The sequence below is a fragment of the Homo sapiens genome, chromosome 4, assembly GCF_000001405.40.
Source record: "Homo sapiens chromosome 4, GRCh38.p14 Primary Assembly".
NCBI lineage: Eukaryota > Metazoa > Chordata > Mammalia > Primates > Hominidae > Homo > Homo sapiens.
In genome coordinates this window covers 100,025,367-100,042,646 of record NC_000004.12, presented here as the reverse complement: position 1 = coordinate 100,042,646, position 17,280 = coordinate 100,025,367, and the positions used below count along the sequence as shown (strand labels likewise).

General features: G+C 41.1%; 1 long non-coding RNA gene and 1 pseudogene across 1 annotated transcript in view; one reads left to right on the top strand and one right to left on the bottom strand.

Moving 5' to 3' along the window:
* On the top strand, window positions 543–803 carry DYNLL1P6 (dynein light chain LC8-type 1 pseudogene 6; annotated as a pseudogene).
* H2AZ1-DT (H2AZ1 divergent transcript) overlaps window positions 4,942–17,280 on the bottom strand; it is an 87,212-nt gene continuing 74,873 nt past the window's right edge. The window contains exons 3-4 of the long non-coding RNA NR_125923.1: window positions 8,627–8,713; window positions 4,942–5,119 (exon numbers count right to left, since the gene is read on the bottom strand). This is a non-coding gene — a long non-coding RNA (H2AZ1 divergent transcript). The remainder of the gene's footprint in view (window positions 5,120–8,626; window positions 8,714–17,280) is intronic.

Sequence of the window (17,280 nt, the reverse complement as noted above, 5' to 3'; positions counted from 1 at the left end):
GCAAGGGGCCCTTAAACTTCATTAAAATTTAAACTGCATTTGCTTCAGTGTAAGTCCACCTCTGACAGAAAGTGATTATTTTCTCGTTTTCTCATGCCTGACAACTTTAACATAACTACCTTCAGTTTCATTACTTCATGTGAAGGATTGTGCTATGTGTTTTTTAAACATTAGCTAATCCATCCTCAAACCAACACTATGAGGTAGTAGTTATTGCACAACTGGGGAAACTGGAGCTCTGAAAGGTTAAGCCACTTGTTCAAGATAAGTAAACTGGTACAATGGTTCCAATGCTGGTATATGCAAATGTGCTGTCCTGCTTCCTTGAGAAAACTGAGGTGGGGAAAGAGCATGAGAAGAACTTTCTATGCTTTCCTAGGCACAGAAAGAACACGACTAGATACAGAGTCTCATTAAGAATATAAACTGTGTTAGATGTACCATGGCTCCAGTAGTGAACATAGCTTCCAGAGGGCCTGAGCCATGCTAGCACCTCCCCAAGGAGACTACTCCAGTTGACCAGCCTCTGCTCCACAGTAACCATGTGAAATTGAAAGGCTGTGATAAAAAATGCAGTCACGTTGGAAGAGATGCATCAGGGCTTAGTGGTGTGAGCTACGCAGGCATTGGAGAACATAAAAAAGACTATTTCAGCCCATATCGAGAAGCAGTTTGACAAGAAGTACAATCCCACCCGACATTGCATCACGGGGAGGAACTTTGGTAGTTGCCTGACACATGAAACCAAGCACTTCATCTACTTCTACCTGGGCCAAATGGGCATTCTTCTGTTCAAATCTGGTTAAAGGCACAGACTGTGCCACACACACAGAGTGACTCATCCAGAAATGAGGACTGCAGCCTAAATTACAAATACCAGAGACTAAAATTTTCAGCCTTGCTAAGGAACACCTCAATCTTTGAAACTTTATTGTGTTTTGTACAGGGCATTCTCTGTATTAGTTTGTTGTGGTTATAAGATAATTAGCAACACACATATATTTGTATTCCATACTTCTGTCCCATGTTTCTTTCCCTCAAAATCCATTACTTTAAAAAATAAATCTGTTACAGATATGAAAGAAAAAAATGTAAAACACTGCATCAGTACTTTCTTATAGTAAGTTTGGGCACGGGGCTAAGAATCCAAAAAGTTAATTCAGATAATATACTGTCATTGGGTAACTTGTGTAAGCCATTCACCAACAGTTTAACTCTGTTTTATCACATGCCAAATAACAGCTTGTAGTAATAATAAAAATATTGCCATATTTGAATCACAATTCAAATGGATTTTACCAATAACATATATGTAGCATAATTTGATATTGCTTACTAGGGCAAGGTTGTATAGACTGCAGCCTAGAAGATTATTTGTAATAAAGCATGATTATAAGAAAATTATCCTATTTAAATTCAAATAACTCTGAGTTCCTGGCTAAGTTTACATCTCTTATACAAGAAAATCACAGGGTGACAACCTACAATTAAAACCCTAGTTCTGTTCAGATCATTAAAAGCCATCTATTTACAATTTAGGTTTGAACACTAGTCTATCTCAAGTCACTGAGAATGTGGCCACACCAGAAAGTTCACCTCCAAGAAATCAGGCAGCCTCCTTTTGGAAGTCTTAAGTGCAGTACATGCTGCACTGTGTACCCAACTCCCTTTCTCAAATACCTCCAAACAGATATACTTCCCATTATTACTTGCCAGAGAAATTCAAATTTCTATGATAAGATACCACTCTACACTGACTAGAATGGCTTAAATTTAAAGACTGACAAAACCAAGTGTTGACAAGAATGTGGAGCAAATGGAATTCTCATAAATTGATGGTGGGAGTGTAAAATGACACAACCCTTTTGGAAAAATGTTTGGCAGACCTAACCAAAGGTAAACATATGAATACCCTATAATCCAGCATTTCCATTCTTGGGTATATATTCAAAAGATATGAGTGTATCCATGAAAATACATGAACAAGAATGTTCATAGGTACTTTTTTTTTTTTACCAATAGCCAGAAACTAGAAGTAATATAAATGCCCATCAAAAGTAGAAAGATAAATTGTGGTGTAATCATACAACAGAATACTATACAAATGAGAATGAACTCATTCCAGCAGCAGGCAACAACAAGGATAAATCTCACAAATGATCATGAGTGAAAGAATCTAGATACAAAAGAATGTACAGTATAATATGTACAACCAAATTTACAAACAAATATGATAGCATTCACAAGTGGGCAAAACTAATCTGTAGGAATATATATCAGGATAGCAGTTACCTGGGAGTATTGACTTGGAAGGAATATTGTAAATCTGCATCTTCATCTGAGCAGTAGTTACATGGGTAATATATACGTAAAATTCATTTAGTTGTAGATTTAAGATATGTGTACTGTAAATATATGTCATATTTAATGTAAAATATTTTTATATTAACATTAAGGCAGACCTTGAGAAAAAGGATCAAGACATCAAATGGCTAAATAGGAAACCTGGGGCATCTAAAAGAGTGCAGAGGTTCTCAACCTCTGTGGCCCAGAAGGAGCACAGGGAAGGAAGAAAGCAAGCAGAACCTGGGGTATCTGAACCGGCCAAACACATGCAAATCCATTCTCATTCTCTCATGCTCTCACTCTCTTTATGATCCAATTTCTTTCTTATGTCTTGCTTTTCCCCTGAATTTTTGCCCAGATACAGCAAAGGAAGTAGAAGCAGAGCTTTGGATTCAGGGGAATCCTCATCCATCACATTTTCTGGTTTTGCATGAAGCATTATTTTTCAACCCTGATGGACTGGTAGGTTATTCCCGATCTTAAACCCAAGTATTACCGAAGTTAAAAGTGAAGGGGTTTTATATGTGAGGCTTTACAAAGTCTTTCTAATTGTTGTTATGCTTTTTCAACTACTCTATTACTTTATTTCAACAACAAAGAACTGTTAGAAGACATTAGAACCCTAAAACAACCTAAATCAATGTTAGTTGGAGATGTTTATAGAAGACACCTAAAGGAATTTTTTAAAATAAAAAAACACTATTTAGTGATCATATTCCTATGGTATATTTTCATACTTGTAAGTTTGGGTTGTTACTGTAAACAAGCATTTAAATTACAAGACAGTTAAGAGGATATTACTGTGAAGGTTAAAAAAATGCACACTAACACGATGATTGAAATTATTGTCCTAGTATTTTATAAGTGTTTGTGGCACAGAATAAAATTTCCAGAGTTGTATCTTGAACAACATAAACTGAAATGAAGACTGGTTTCTCTGGGAAAAATGTAAGAAAAATAAAGTGCTTCTAGAGAAGATAAAAATACTATTACCAAAGGTTCACGTGAAGAATTTAGTTTATGAATTTGGGATTTTCTACATTAAAGAATTTAAAATTGCATGTGACCATTTCATGTACATCTTTAAAGGTTTATGTGTTCACGTTGGACAAAGAGAAGATTGCTGAAGGCTTACAGTCATATTCCATATGTATACAGTGTAAACAAGGCAATCAAAAGGGAAACAAATATTTTAAACACAGCTTAATCATCATATTGAATTCCAGTTTGACACTTTTGTCACCCTCAATTTGTGTTTCTGTATGTATATTCCAAGGAGAAAATTGCGCTATAATCTAAATGAGATAAATACAGCTAATTATAATTAAGGTTAAAAACATCACTTTTGAAGAATAGGACTACGTGGTTTGTCCTTAAAAAAATCATAGTCAGAAAATGGGGCTGAGTTATTTGCTAAGATAAGTGTTCACCATATGCCAGTAATAAACCCAGTTATCTGTTCTTAGAACATCTTTGTTGTTAGGAAAGAGATGTTAATGACTTGGGAGAGTAATGTTGGTAGAACTGGTTAAGAATGTTGACTCTAGAATCAGACTGCCAGCACTAAAAACCCCACTCTATCACTCACTCTGTGACTTTGCACATATCACAACTTCTCTACACCTGTTTTCACTCTGTAAAATAGGAGTTATAAGATCCACCTTATAAGACTTTTATAACTAGTGAATGTTAAAATATTTGTTAAGCAGGCCAGACGTGGTGGCTCACTCCTGTAATCCCAGCATTTTGGGAGGGCAGGGCAGGTAGATCACCTGAGGTCAGAAGTTCAAGACCAGCCTGACCAACATGGTGAAACCCCGTCTCTACTAAAAATGAAAAAACTAGCCGGATGTGATGGTGCACGCATGTAATCCCAGCTACTCAGGAGGCTGAGGCAGGATAACATCCTGAACCTGAGAGGCTGAGGTTGCAGTGAGTAGAGATCATGCCATTGTACTCCAGCCTGAGCAACAAGAGCGAAACTCAGTCTCAAATATATATATATATGTTAAACAGCTAAGAAAATATCTTGCATGTGGCAGATGGTCAATAATTGTTAGGTCTTATACTTTATCCTTTTCCCTTTAATTGACAACAATAACAGCCTTTTTACCCCTATAAAGGACTTTCTATAATACAAAAAGTGAGTGTAATAAAATACTATAGAAACCTAATAGAGCAGAAAATTGAAATGGAGAGAAATGAAAACAGGCTTATTTTAGGCAGAACATCACATGTCATAGATTAGGCTAATGATGAGTCTAGCTCTTTCAGTGGATCTGTGAGTGCCAGCTAACACATCCAAGAAGCCAATCTCTGGTATGACAGGTTTCTTCGTTATTTTCCACTTACCACGTTATAGAATGCTCACTGGCTTGAATGAAACTTTAGCTGAAGTGAGCAGTAATGAAACCCAAATAAAATATTCCTCTATCCAGAAGAGATCAAACTCAGATCCCAGGAAAACATATAAGTAACACTTCATTTAAAGGATTTTAACCAGCAAATTAATGCTGCAGCAGCATATGAGACTATAAGTAAAAGGAGCTTCCATTGAAAATGCCACAAAGCATTGCAAGGCCACAGTGGACAAGTGAGAGCAGAACATCCCATGTTCCAGGAAGAGCATGCAGGCACACATTATGGTTTATAAGAACTCCTGGTTCTTTCAGTTGGCAAGAGCTTGCTTTTAGTCCAAATAACATTCTCCAGAAGTTCTTGGGCTTCTTGGATCCCCCATTTTGCAGCAACATTAAGGAGCATTTCTACATCCCTAGAAGAAACAGTTATTTAGTAGTGCTAAGAAAGAGTAAACCAAAAGCACCTGCACATTCAAGAGTTTGAGTTAAGGGCCAGAGTACCAGCTGTTTAAACTCATTGTAAGGTGATGAGGGAAACACTTGCCATTTCACCTGGGTTTCATCATGAGTACTGATATAGTTTGGCTGTGTCCCCACCAAAATCTCATCTTGAATTGTAGTTCCCATAATCCCCATGTGTCATGAGAGGGACCCAATGGGAGGTATTTGAATCATGAGGGCAGTTTCCCCCATGCTATTTTCATGATCGTGAGTAAGTTCTCGTGATAGCTGATTGTTTTATAAGGGGCTTCTACCTTTGCTCATCTCTAATTCTTCTCTCTCCTGCTGCCTTGTGAAGAGGATGTGTTTGCTTCCCCTTTTGCCATGATTGTAAGTTTCCTGAGGCCTTCCCAGCCATGCAGAACTGTGAGTCGATTAAACCTCTTTCCTTTATAAATTACCCAGTCTCAGTTATTTCTTCAGAGTGGCATATTAACAAACTAATATAGTAAATTGGTACCAGGAGTGGGGCACTGCTGTAAAGATACCTGAAAATGTGGAAGCAACTTTGGAACTGGGTAACAGGCAGAGGCTGAAACAGTTTGAAGGGCTCAGAAGAAGACAGGAAAATGTGGGAAAGTTTGAAACTTCCTAGAGACTTGTTGAAAGGCTTCAACCAAACTGCTAATATTGATATGGACAATGAAGTCTAGGCTGAGGTGGTCTCATATGGAGATGAGGAACTTGTTGGCAATTGGAGTAAAGGTCACTGTTGCCGTGCAAAGAGACTGGAGGCATTTTGCCCCTGACCTAGAGATCTGTGGAACTTTGAACTTGAGAGAGATGATTTAGGGTATCTAGCAGAAGAAATTTCTAAGTAGCAAAATGTTAAAGAGAAAACAGTACATAAAAGTTTGGAAAATTTGCAGCCAAACAAAGTGATAGAAAAGAAAACCCCATTTTCTGAGGAGAAATTTAAGCCCACTGCATAAATTTGCATAAGTAACAAGGAGCCCAATGTTAATTACCAAGACAATGGGGAAACTGTATCCAGGACATGTCAGAGACCTTCATGTAAGCCCCTCCCATCACACACCCAGAGCCCTATGAGAAAAAAGTGGTTTCCTGGGCTGGTCCCAGGGACCCCCTGCTGTGTGCAGCCTAGGGATTTGGTGCCCTGTGTGCTTGCCGCTCCAGCCATGGCTAAAAGGAGCCAAGGTACATGTCAGGCTATGGCTTCAGAGGGTGCAAGCCCCAAACCTTGGCAGCTTCCATGTGGTGTTGAGCCTGTGGGTGCACAGAAGTCAAGAACTGAGTTTTGGAAACCTCCACCTAGATTTCAGAAGATATACGGAAATGCCTGGACGTCCAGGCAAAAGTTTGCTACATGGCAGGGCTCCCATGGATAACCTCTGCTGCGGCAGTGTGGAAGGGAAATGTGGGGTCAGAGCCCCCACACAGAGTCCTCACTGGGGCACTGAGTAGTGGAACTATGAGAAGACGGCCACCATTTTCCAGACCCCAGAATGGTAGATCCACTGGCCGCTTGCACTTTGTACCTGGAAAAGCCACATTCAATGCCAGCCCATGAAACAAGCCAGGAGGGGTGGCTGTACCCTGCAAAGCCACAGGGGCGGAGATGCCCAAGGCTGTGGGAGCCCACCTCTGGCGTAAGTATGACCTGGATATGAGACATGCAATCAATGGAGATCATTTTGGAACTTTAAGGTTTAATGAGGGCCCTATCAGATTTCAGATTTGCATAAGGCTGGTAGCCCCTTTGTTTTGGTCAATTTTTCTATTTTGGAATGGGTGTATTTACCCAATGTCTGTACCCCTATTGTTATCTAGGAAGTAACTAACTTGCTTTTGATTTTACAGGCTCATAGGCAGAAATAACTTGCCTTGTCTCAGATGAGACTTTGGACTTGGACTTTTGAGTTAATACTGGAATGAGTTAAGACTTTGGGGGACTGTTGGAAGGGCATGATTGTATTTTGAAATGTGAGGATGAGATTTGGGAGGGGATGGGGCAGAATGATATGGTATGGTTGAGTCTCCCTCTTTACTGGTAGTTCCCATAATCCTCATGTGTTATGAGAGGGACCCAGTGGGAGGTAATTGAATCATGGGGGTGGTTTCCCCCATGCTATTCTTGTGATAGTAAGTTCTCACAAGATCTGATGGTTTTATAAGAGGCTTCCCCCTTTACTCAGCTCTCATTCTTCTCTCTCCTACCACCTTGTGAAGAAGGACGTGTTTGCTTCCCCTTCTGCCATGATTGTAAGCTTCCTGAAGCCTTCCCAGCCATGCAGAACTGAGTCAATTAAACCTCTTTTCTTTATTAATTACCCAGTCTCGTGTATTTCTTCATAGCATCATGAGAATGGACTAATACAAGAATCTTCATAATACAATCAGAGCTACCCAAATAAATATTCTTAAAAGACCAGAGCCTAGCTAGATTATTTTGCCCTATTTAGAGAAGTTTTTCTAGCCAAGAATCTCATGTAATGTTGGAGGCACCCCTCTCTTGCAAGCAAATTCTATATTTTGGTTTGGGAGTGCTAACTGGAGAGGGATTCTATACAACCTCCCATCTGGTAACCGTCAGTTGTAAAGTAGAACATATTGGCTTCGCCATTTTGACTTGGCTGCCTCAAAATGGTCATTTCAAAATTTTATTACCAATTGTGCAGGCAACATCCCTGACTATTGTACAAATTCCAAAGATTCACCCCATCCTCAGCCCCTTACTGAACTTTTTTTCTAAACCTGGTCTACCTCTTAGCCTGAGGTAGAAGATTAAATGCTGGAGTTGCAGGAGGTTGTTGTACACATTAATTGGAAATGAAGTAGATGTCAGTTGCATTACTTTAAAAAAAGAGAAAACAAGCTGAAAGTTTAATGGTTTGTTTTCGGGACCCTATCAAAAAATGTGTCTGACTCAAAATAGCTGAATAAAAATGTCATAGACTATGAACTATTCAAAAGCATTAAGAAAATCTTCTCCAGAGAAAGTAGTGGTATATTTATTTTTATAACTGTGAGTAATCAAGAGGATTAGTCCAACAGACACTAAAGATATTTGTGCCCAAAGAGAGTTCTCTACCTTATATTCGTGTCTGCTCTATTCTGTTTATAAGAAAATGTGGTAAGGCTGTAAAGATGATATTTAAGGGGGCCATAAGAATTCACAGGAGAGTGTGAGGACCATGAAATAACCCAGCATTTCATCTCAGGCTCACAGAATGCCTGAAGAATTTAGTCAGTGGGATATATGCACATATATGAATATTGCATTCCCTTGCTTTGTGACTTTTATTGTAACTCAGCAATGTAAGAACATAGAAAGGCAAGAGCAGAAAGTGAGCTATATAAAAAATGTTTTTGCCTGTGAATTGCAGGTAGTATATGAGGGGCATCTTTGGAAAGAATGACATGTCAGCTAGAAGGGAAAAGACAGCAAATTTTATTACCCTGCTTCCATGGAGGCAGTCATGTTTTTCAGTGTTCCTACTGCAAGGTTAAAGGCAGCACCAGGATGGTCCTGCTGGGAGGCTTGTCTGAAAAGGAGGAAGAAGAAAGGGAACTGGTGATGGGGGGAAGCATGCTATAGAAAACAAAGAAACAACCTTATAAAAAAGCATCCCCTTCATAAAACCAAGGACAGCACCAATAAAGACTATTACTAGAAACCATTACTTCTATCTTACCATATATCTAGCCAAAAAATAATAAGCCTCCTTCATTAAAAATGTTTTTCTTGGCCAGATATGGTGGCTCATGCCCATAATCCCAGCACTTTGAAAGGTCTAGGTGGGTGTATCATTTGAGGTCAGGAGTTCGAGACTAGCCTGGCCAAATGGTGAAACCCTGTGTGATGGTTAATACTGTCAACTTGATTGGACGGAGGGATGCAAAGTATTGATCCTGGGTGTGTCTGTGAGGGTGTTGCCAAAGGAGATTAACATTTAAATCAGTGGGCTGGGAAAGGCAGACCCACCCTTAATCTGGGTGGGCACAATCTGATCAGCTGCCAGAGCAGCTAGGATAAAAGCAGGCAGAAGTGCATGAAAAGGCTAGCTGACTTAGCTTCCCAATCTACTCTTTTTTCATTCTGGATGCTTCCTGCCCTCAAACATCGAACTCCAAGTTCTTCAGCTTTGGGATTCAGACTGTCTTCCTTGCTGCTCAGCTTGCAGATGGCCTATTGTGGGACCTTGTGATTGGGTGAGTTAATACTGCTTAATAACTCCCATACACACACACACACACACACACACACACACACATATATCTCCTATTAGTTCTTCCCTCTAGAAAACCCTGACTAATACAGATTTTGGTACCAGGAGTGGTTCCAGAGGAACAGAATATTAAGGATGGTTTTGGGGTTTATGGAGTTCACTGCTTAATATGATTAGACCCCAAAATGCTAAGGACTCTACTTCTAAAACTATGGAGAACACTGATAGTCCTTGGCATGAACTGTTTAGAGAGTTATGCAAAATACATGCATTTGACACTCCTGATTCACTGCTCATGAGAGGCAAGGAGTCTAGTGACTCTATACATAATACCTTTGACCATATGTGAAGGACCAAGGAACATAATGAAGTTGGTTGGTTGCTCCTAAGTTCAGTGGACAAAGTGATGAAAGAAAATTATGAAGTTAGAGATTCTAACTCCTGGCTTCAGAAGCAGATACTGAGCCTCAAGTCTGCCAAGATTGTCCTGAGTCTTATCTCCTGTAGAGAAAGAGCTGAAATTGCAAAAAAACAGACACAAGCTCTTCTCATGAGTGGCTGACCTGCAATGAAAGGTGCATGCACGGCCTTTCCAGGTGTCTACTATTAAAATGAGGGCATTGATTGGAAAAGAATGGGACCCTGCAACTTGGAATGAGGATGTGTGGGAGGACCCTGATGAAACTGGGGACACTGTGTTTGTAAATTCTGATGAAACTTTTTTGCCAGAAGAAACAATTGCCAAATCCCCAGTAGTGGCAACATCCCCTCCCCAACCCATGCTGCCATCAGTCTTTCCACCTTTGTCTGAGGAGGTAAACCCTATGCTGCCTGAGGCAACAGTGATGGCTTCCCCTGAGGCAGTTGCCAGGCAAGATAATGTTGATTCTCCTCAGGAGCCACCCCCAATACCCCTGTTTGCCTCTAGACCTATAACTAAAGTCCTGGCAGGCCTCTAGATGTGAGGTTCAGAGTGTGATCCAGGAGGCGGTGTGCAACATTCAAAAAGAACTGCTTGAGTTTTGTAATTTATGTAAACAGAAATCTGGAGAACAGGCATGGGAATGGATAGTAAGCGTGTGGTGTAATGTTGGAAAAAAATAGAGTTGTATCAGGCTGAATTTATTGATTTGGGTCCACTAAGCAGGGATTCTGCATTTAATGTTGCAGCTTGGGGAGTTAAAAAAGATTCAATAGTTTATTTGCTTAGTTAGCTGAAATATGATTAAACGATGGCCCACTGTGAGCGAGCTGGAAATGCCTGATCTCCCTTGGTTTAATGTAGAGGAAGGGATCCAAAGGCTTAGGGAGATTAGGATGCTGGAGTCACTTTAGACCTATATATTTCAATTGGGAGGGTCCAGAAGATATACCCTTGACCAATGCATTGCAAAATAGATTTGTGAGGGCAGCATCTGCACCTTTGAAGAGTCCTGTAATTGCTCTTCTCCGTGTGGCAGATCTAACAGTGGGAATGGCAGTCACTCAACTACAAAATTTAAATAGAATGAGAATAATTGGATCCCAAGGTGGCAGAGGCCAAGTGATGGCACTTAACCATCAAAGGCAAGGTGGGCATAGCTACTATAATGGACAGCAGAGGCAAAGCAGAAATTAGAATATTCTGACTTGTGTAGAGCTCTGGCAATGGCTAATTAATCACAGTGTTCCTAGAAGTGAAATTGATGGGAAGTGTACTGCATTCCTACTCAATTTAGACAAGCAGAAAACTTCCAGATGGAATGGACAAAAGACTAATTTGAATTATAAAAACAGAGAATCATGATCCCTCAATCAATTTCCAGACTTGAGCCAGTTTGCAGGCCCAGAGCCCCTTGAATGAAGGGGAGGACATGTCCCCTTAAGGAAGGACCCCACTACACTACTGACAACTTATGCTGTTAATTTTTCTCCCATCCTTCCCCAAGTCGACCTCTGGCCTTTTGCCAGGGTAACTGTGCACTGGGGAAAGAGAAATGATCAGACATTTGGGGAACTACTGGACACTGGCTCTGAGCTGAAGTTGATTCCAGTGGACCCAAAATGTCATTGTGGTTCTCCAGTTAAAGTAGAGGCTTAGGGAGGTCAGGTAATTAATGGAGTTTTAGCTCAGGTCCAACATACAGTGGGTCCATTGGGTCCCTGGACTCATCCTGTGGTTATTTCTCCAGTGCCAGAATGCATAATTGGCATAGACATACTTAGTAGCTGGCAGAACCCCCACATTGGCTCCCTGACTGGTAGGGTGAGGGCTATTATGGTGGGAAAGGCCAAATGGAAGCCATTAGAACTGCCTCTACCTAGAAAAATAGTAAATCAAAAACAATATCGCATCCCTGCAGGGATTGCAGAGATTAGCGCCACCATCAAAGTCTTGAAGGACACAGGGGTGGTGATCCACACAACAACCTAATTCAACTCTCCTATTTGGCCAGTGCAGAAGACAGATGGATCTTGAAGAATGACCGTGGATTACTGTAAGCTTTACCAAGTGGTGACTCCAACTGCAGCAACTGTACCAGATGTGGTTTCATTGCTTGAGCAAATTAGCACATCTGGTACCTGGTATGCAGCCACTGACTTCGCAGATGCCTTTTTCTCCATTCCTGTCCATAAAGCCCCCCAGAAGCAATTTGCCTTCAGCTGGTAAGGCCAGCAATATACCTTTTTCTGTCCTACCTCAGGGGTATATCAACTCTCTGCCTTTGTGTCATAATCTTATTCGGAGAGCACTTGATCGCCTTTCGCTTCCACAAGATATCAAACTTGTCCATTACATTGATGACATTATGCTGATTGGATCCAGTGGGCAAGAAGTAGCAAACACACTGGACTTATTGGTGAGACATTTGCATGCCAGAGGATGGGAAATACATCTAACAAAAATTCAGGCAGCTTCTACCTCAGTCAAATTTCTAGGGATCCAGTGGTGTGGGGCCTGTCAAGATATTCCTTCTGAGGTGAAGGATAAGTTGCTGCATTTGGCCCCTCCTACAACCAAAAAAGAGGCACAATGCCTAGTGGGCCTATTAGGATTTTGGAGGCAACACATTCCTCATTTGGGTGTGTTACTCTGGCCCATTTATCCAGTGACCCAAAAGGCTGCCAGTTTTGAGTGGGGTCCAGAACAGGAGAAGGCTCCACAACAGGTCCAGGCTGCTGTGCAAGCTGCTCTGCCACTTGGACCATATGACCCAGCAGATTCAATGGTGTTTGAGGGGTCAGTGGCAGATAGGGGTGCTGTTTGGAGCCTTTGCCAGGCCCCCATAGATGAATCACAGTGGAGGTCTCCAGGATTTTGGAGCAAGGCCCTGCCAACTTCTGTAGATAACTACTCTCCTTTTGAGTGACAGCTCTTGGCCTGTTACTGGGTTTTGGTGGGAACTGAATGTTTAATGATGGGTCATCAAGTCATCATGTGACCTGAACTGCCTATCATGAACTGAGTGCTTTATGACCCATTTAGCTATAAAGTAAGTCATGCACAGCAGCATTACATTATTAAATGGAAGTGGTATATACGTGATTGGGCTCGAGTGGGTCCTGAAGGCACAAGTAAGTTACATGAGGAAGTGGTTCAAATGCTCATGGTCTCCACTCCTGCCACCCTATCTTCTCTCCCACAGCATACACCAATGGCCTTATGGGCAGTTCCCTATGATCAGTTGACAGAGGAAGAGAAGACTAGGGTTTTTTTAAGAGAAGACAGATGGTTTTGCACGATACACAAGCACCACCTGAAAGTGGACAGCTGCAGCACTACAGCCCCTTTCTAGGACATCCCTGAAGGACAGCAGTGAAGGGAAATCTTCCCAGTGAGGAGAACTTCAAGCAGTTCACCTAGTTGTACACTTTGCATGGAAGGAGAAATGGCCAGATATGCAATTATATACTGAATCATGGGCTGTAGCCAATGGTTTGGCTAGATGGTCAGAGACTTGGAAGAAGTATGATTGGAAAATTGGTGACAAAGAAATTTGAGAAAGATGTATGTGGATAGACCTCTCTAGGTGATCAAAAACTGTATTTGTATCCCATGTGAGTGCTCACCTACAAGTATCTCAGCAGAGGAGAAGTTTAATAATCAAGTGGATAAGATGACCCATTCTGTGGTTACCACTCAGCCTCTTTCCCCAGCCACTCCTGTCATTGCCCAATGGGCCCATGAACAACATGGCCATGGTGGCAGGTGTGGAGGTTACACATGGGCTCAGCAATATGGACCTCCACTCACCAAGGCTGCCCTGGCTACGGCCACTGCCGAGTGCCCAATTTGCCAGCAACAGAGACCAACACTAAGCTCTCGATATGGCAAAATTCCTCGGGGTGATCAGCCAGCTACCTGGTAGCAACTTGATTATATTGGACCTCTTCCATCACGGAAAGGGCAGAGGTTTGTCCTCACTGGAATAGACACTTACTCCAGATATGGGTTTGCCTATCCTGCATGCAATGATTCTGCCAAGACTACCATCCATGGGCTCACGGAATGCCTTATCCACAGTCATGGTATTGCCTCTGACCAAGGCACTCACTTTATGGCTAAAGAAGTGCAGCAGTGGACTTGTGCTCATGGAATTCATTGGTCTTACCATGTTCCCCATTATCCTGAAGCAGCTGTATTGATAGAATGGTGGAATGCCCTTTTGAAGTCACAATTACAATGCCAACTAGGTGACAATACTTTGCCAGGGCTGGGGCAAAGTTCTCCAAAAGGCCATGTATGCTCTGAATCAGCATTCAATATATGGTACTGTTTCTCCCATAGCCAGGATTCATGGGTCCAGGAATCAAGGGTTGGAAATGGAAGTGGCACCACTCACCATCACCCCTAGTGATCCACTAACAAAATTTTTGCTTCCTGTTTCCATGACATTACATTCTGCTGGCCTAGAGGTCTTAGTTCCAGTGGGAGAAATGTTGCCACCAGGAGACACAGTGATTCCATTAAACTAGAAGTTAAGATTGCCAACTGGACACTTTAGGCTCCTCCTACCTTTAAGTCAACAGGCTAAGAAGTGAGTTACAGTGTTGGCTAGGGTGATTGACCCGGGCTATCAAGATGAAGTCAGTCTACTACTCCACAACAGAGGTAAGGAAGAGTATGTATGGAATACAGGAGATCCCTTAGGATGTCTCTTAGTATTATCATGCTTTGTGATTAAGGTCAATGGGAAACTACAATAGCCCAATCCAGGCAGTTGGCCCAGACCATTCAGGAATGAAGGTTTGGGTCACTCCACCAAGAAAAAAACCATGACCTGCTAAGGTGCTTGATGAAGGCAAAGGAAATACGAATGAGTAGCAGAAGAAGGTAGGAAAAAAACCATGATCTGCTAAGGTGCTTGATGAAGGTAAAGGAAATACGAATGGGTAGTAGAAGAAGGTAATCATCAATGGCCCCGTGACCAGTTGCAGAAATGGAGACTGTAATTGTCATGAGTATTTCCTCCTTCTTTTGTTAAAAACATGTGTGTGCATATATACACTTGTACTAAGAAAATAACTTCATTTTATTTCCTTTTTCGTTTATCATGTGACATAAGATTTATTTACTTCATATCAGCATTCGAGCATCATTAACTTTATGTAAGAGTATTTGGGTTGGGGAGTGGTGCATTTCTGGCTGTATGAAGGATAGTTGCATTATGTTAGGCATAATTATGAGCTTATTATTGCTTTTATTTGAAGATTATGTATGATCTCAGGAGATGTGTATCGGTTAAAGTTGACAAGGGGTGGACTTGTGATGGTTAATACTGAGTGTCAACTTGATTGGATTGAGGGATGCAAAGGATTGATCCTGGGTGTGTCTGTGAGGGTGTTGCCAAAGGAGATTAACATTTGAGTTAGTGGGCTGGGAAAGGCAGACCCACCCTTAATCTGGGTGGGCACAATCTAATCAGCTGCTGTCGCAGCTAGGATAAAAGCAGGCAGAAAAATGTGAAAAGGCTAGATTGGCTTAGCCTCCCAGGCTACATCTTTCTCCCATGCTGGATGCTTCCTGCCCTTAAGCATTGGACTCCAAGTTCTTCAGCTTGGGGACTCAGACAGGCTTCCTTGCTTCTCAGCTTGCAGATGGCCTACTGTGGGACTTGAGATCATGTTAGTTAATACTACTTAATAACTCCCCTTTATATATAAATATCTATCCTATTAGTTCTGTCCCTCTAGAGAACCCTGACTAACCCCCAGTCTCTACTGAAAATAAAAAAAAAATTAGCCGAGCATGGTGGCACATGCCTATAATCCCAGCTACTTGGGAGGCTGAGGCTTGCTTGAACCCAGGAGGAGGAGGTTGTAGTGAGCTGAGATCACGCCACTGCATTCCAGCCTGGGTGACAGAGGGAGACTCTGTCTCAAAAAAAAAAAAAATGTTTTTCTTACTTGAAACAAGTACAGTACTTTTAAAAAAATTAGTTGCGTATTTGTTTCAATCAATTCATCAGCTTTTCCAAATATTAATATAATTATACTCTTTTCTCCAAACTATACAGGCAATCAAAATGCTGGAAAGGACTATCTGGGAATGTTAGAAATTCAATAACACGTAAACTGACCCTTAAGCACTATTTCCAATTGCTGAAACATAAATGTAAATTGCTAGTACTTTCCAGTAGAATTTTTACCAAAGATAGAATCGATCTATATTTGCACTGTCCAGTACAGTAGCCAGTACTGGCTATTGAATACTTGAAATGTAGACAGTGCAACTATGAACTAAAATTCTGATTTTATTTAGTTTTAATTCATTTACATTTATATGGCCACATTGTGGCTGTTGGCTACAATATCGGAGAGTGCATATCAGTCACCCCAGGAACTTATTAAAATGAAGATTCTACTTCAGTGGGTCTGTGTTAGAGCCTCAGAGACTGCATTCCTACCAAGTGCCCACCTGGCGATGCCAATGCTCTGGGTGTACGGACTATACTCCCAGTGGCAAGCACTTCAGCCAAGTGCAGTTAATCACCAACGACACTTTGCCACTTTGGAACCATGTCACTCCCTTCCTGATTCTCAAAGGTGTTTCTTCTGTTGTCAGGTGAACTTTATCAGAATATCGATTTTAAGCTTTAGAATATGTTCCTGAAATGCCTTCTTCTGCTGGTTCATGTTTACTTTATTAACCATTATAGACTTCTGGAGTAGTTTGAGCTGGCAGCATATTACACTCACCTAGGAATCATTTTCTGCTCATTTAAATCAATCTGGAGCTGGGCATCAGCATTTTTCAGAAGCTCCCCAGGTGATTCTAACATGTAGCCCAGTTTGTAAATTTCAAATTAGTGTATGTTTTATAGTCAAGAGCTCAAAACCTTAATAACCAAAGTAACGTTAACACAGAACATTGTTAATAAACTTATTGATATTCTGAATCTTGACCTAGATTGGTCCACGTTCCCCAGTTTGGCTCTTTTGAATCTAATCTGCTCTTTGCTTACATTGTGTAGACTGTTTTAAAATGCATTGGCCCCGCCCTCTCCATAGCTCCACCAGTACTCCTACCTCATCACCAAGTGGAAAAAGTAAAAAGGGTACCAAGACTTTAATATTAAGATCTCTAGCTTATTTTTGCTCTAGGGAAAGAGCACCAAAATTATAAGGTTTTCTATTTCAGCATAGGTTGAGCATCCCTAATCAGAAAATCTGAATCTGAATGCTCCAAAATCTGAAAGTTTTGGAGCACCAACATGACCCTCAAAGAAAAATCTCACTGGAGCATTTCAGATTCTGAATTTTCAGGTTAGGGATGCTCAACCAGTTAGTATAATACAAATATTTCAAAATAAAAAAATTAAAAAAAATCCAAGATCCAAAACACTTCTGGTCTCAAGCATCTCGGATAAGGGATGCTCAACCTGTACTTTCTGAACAGGTAA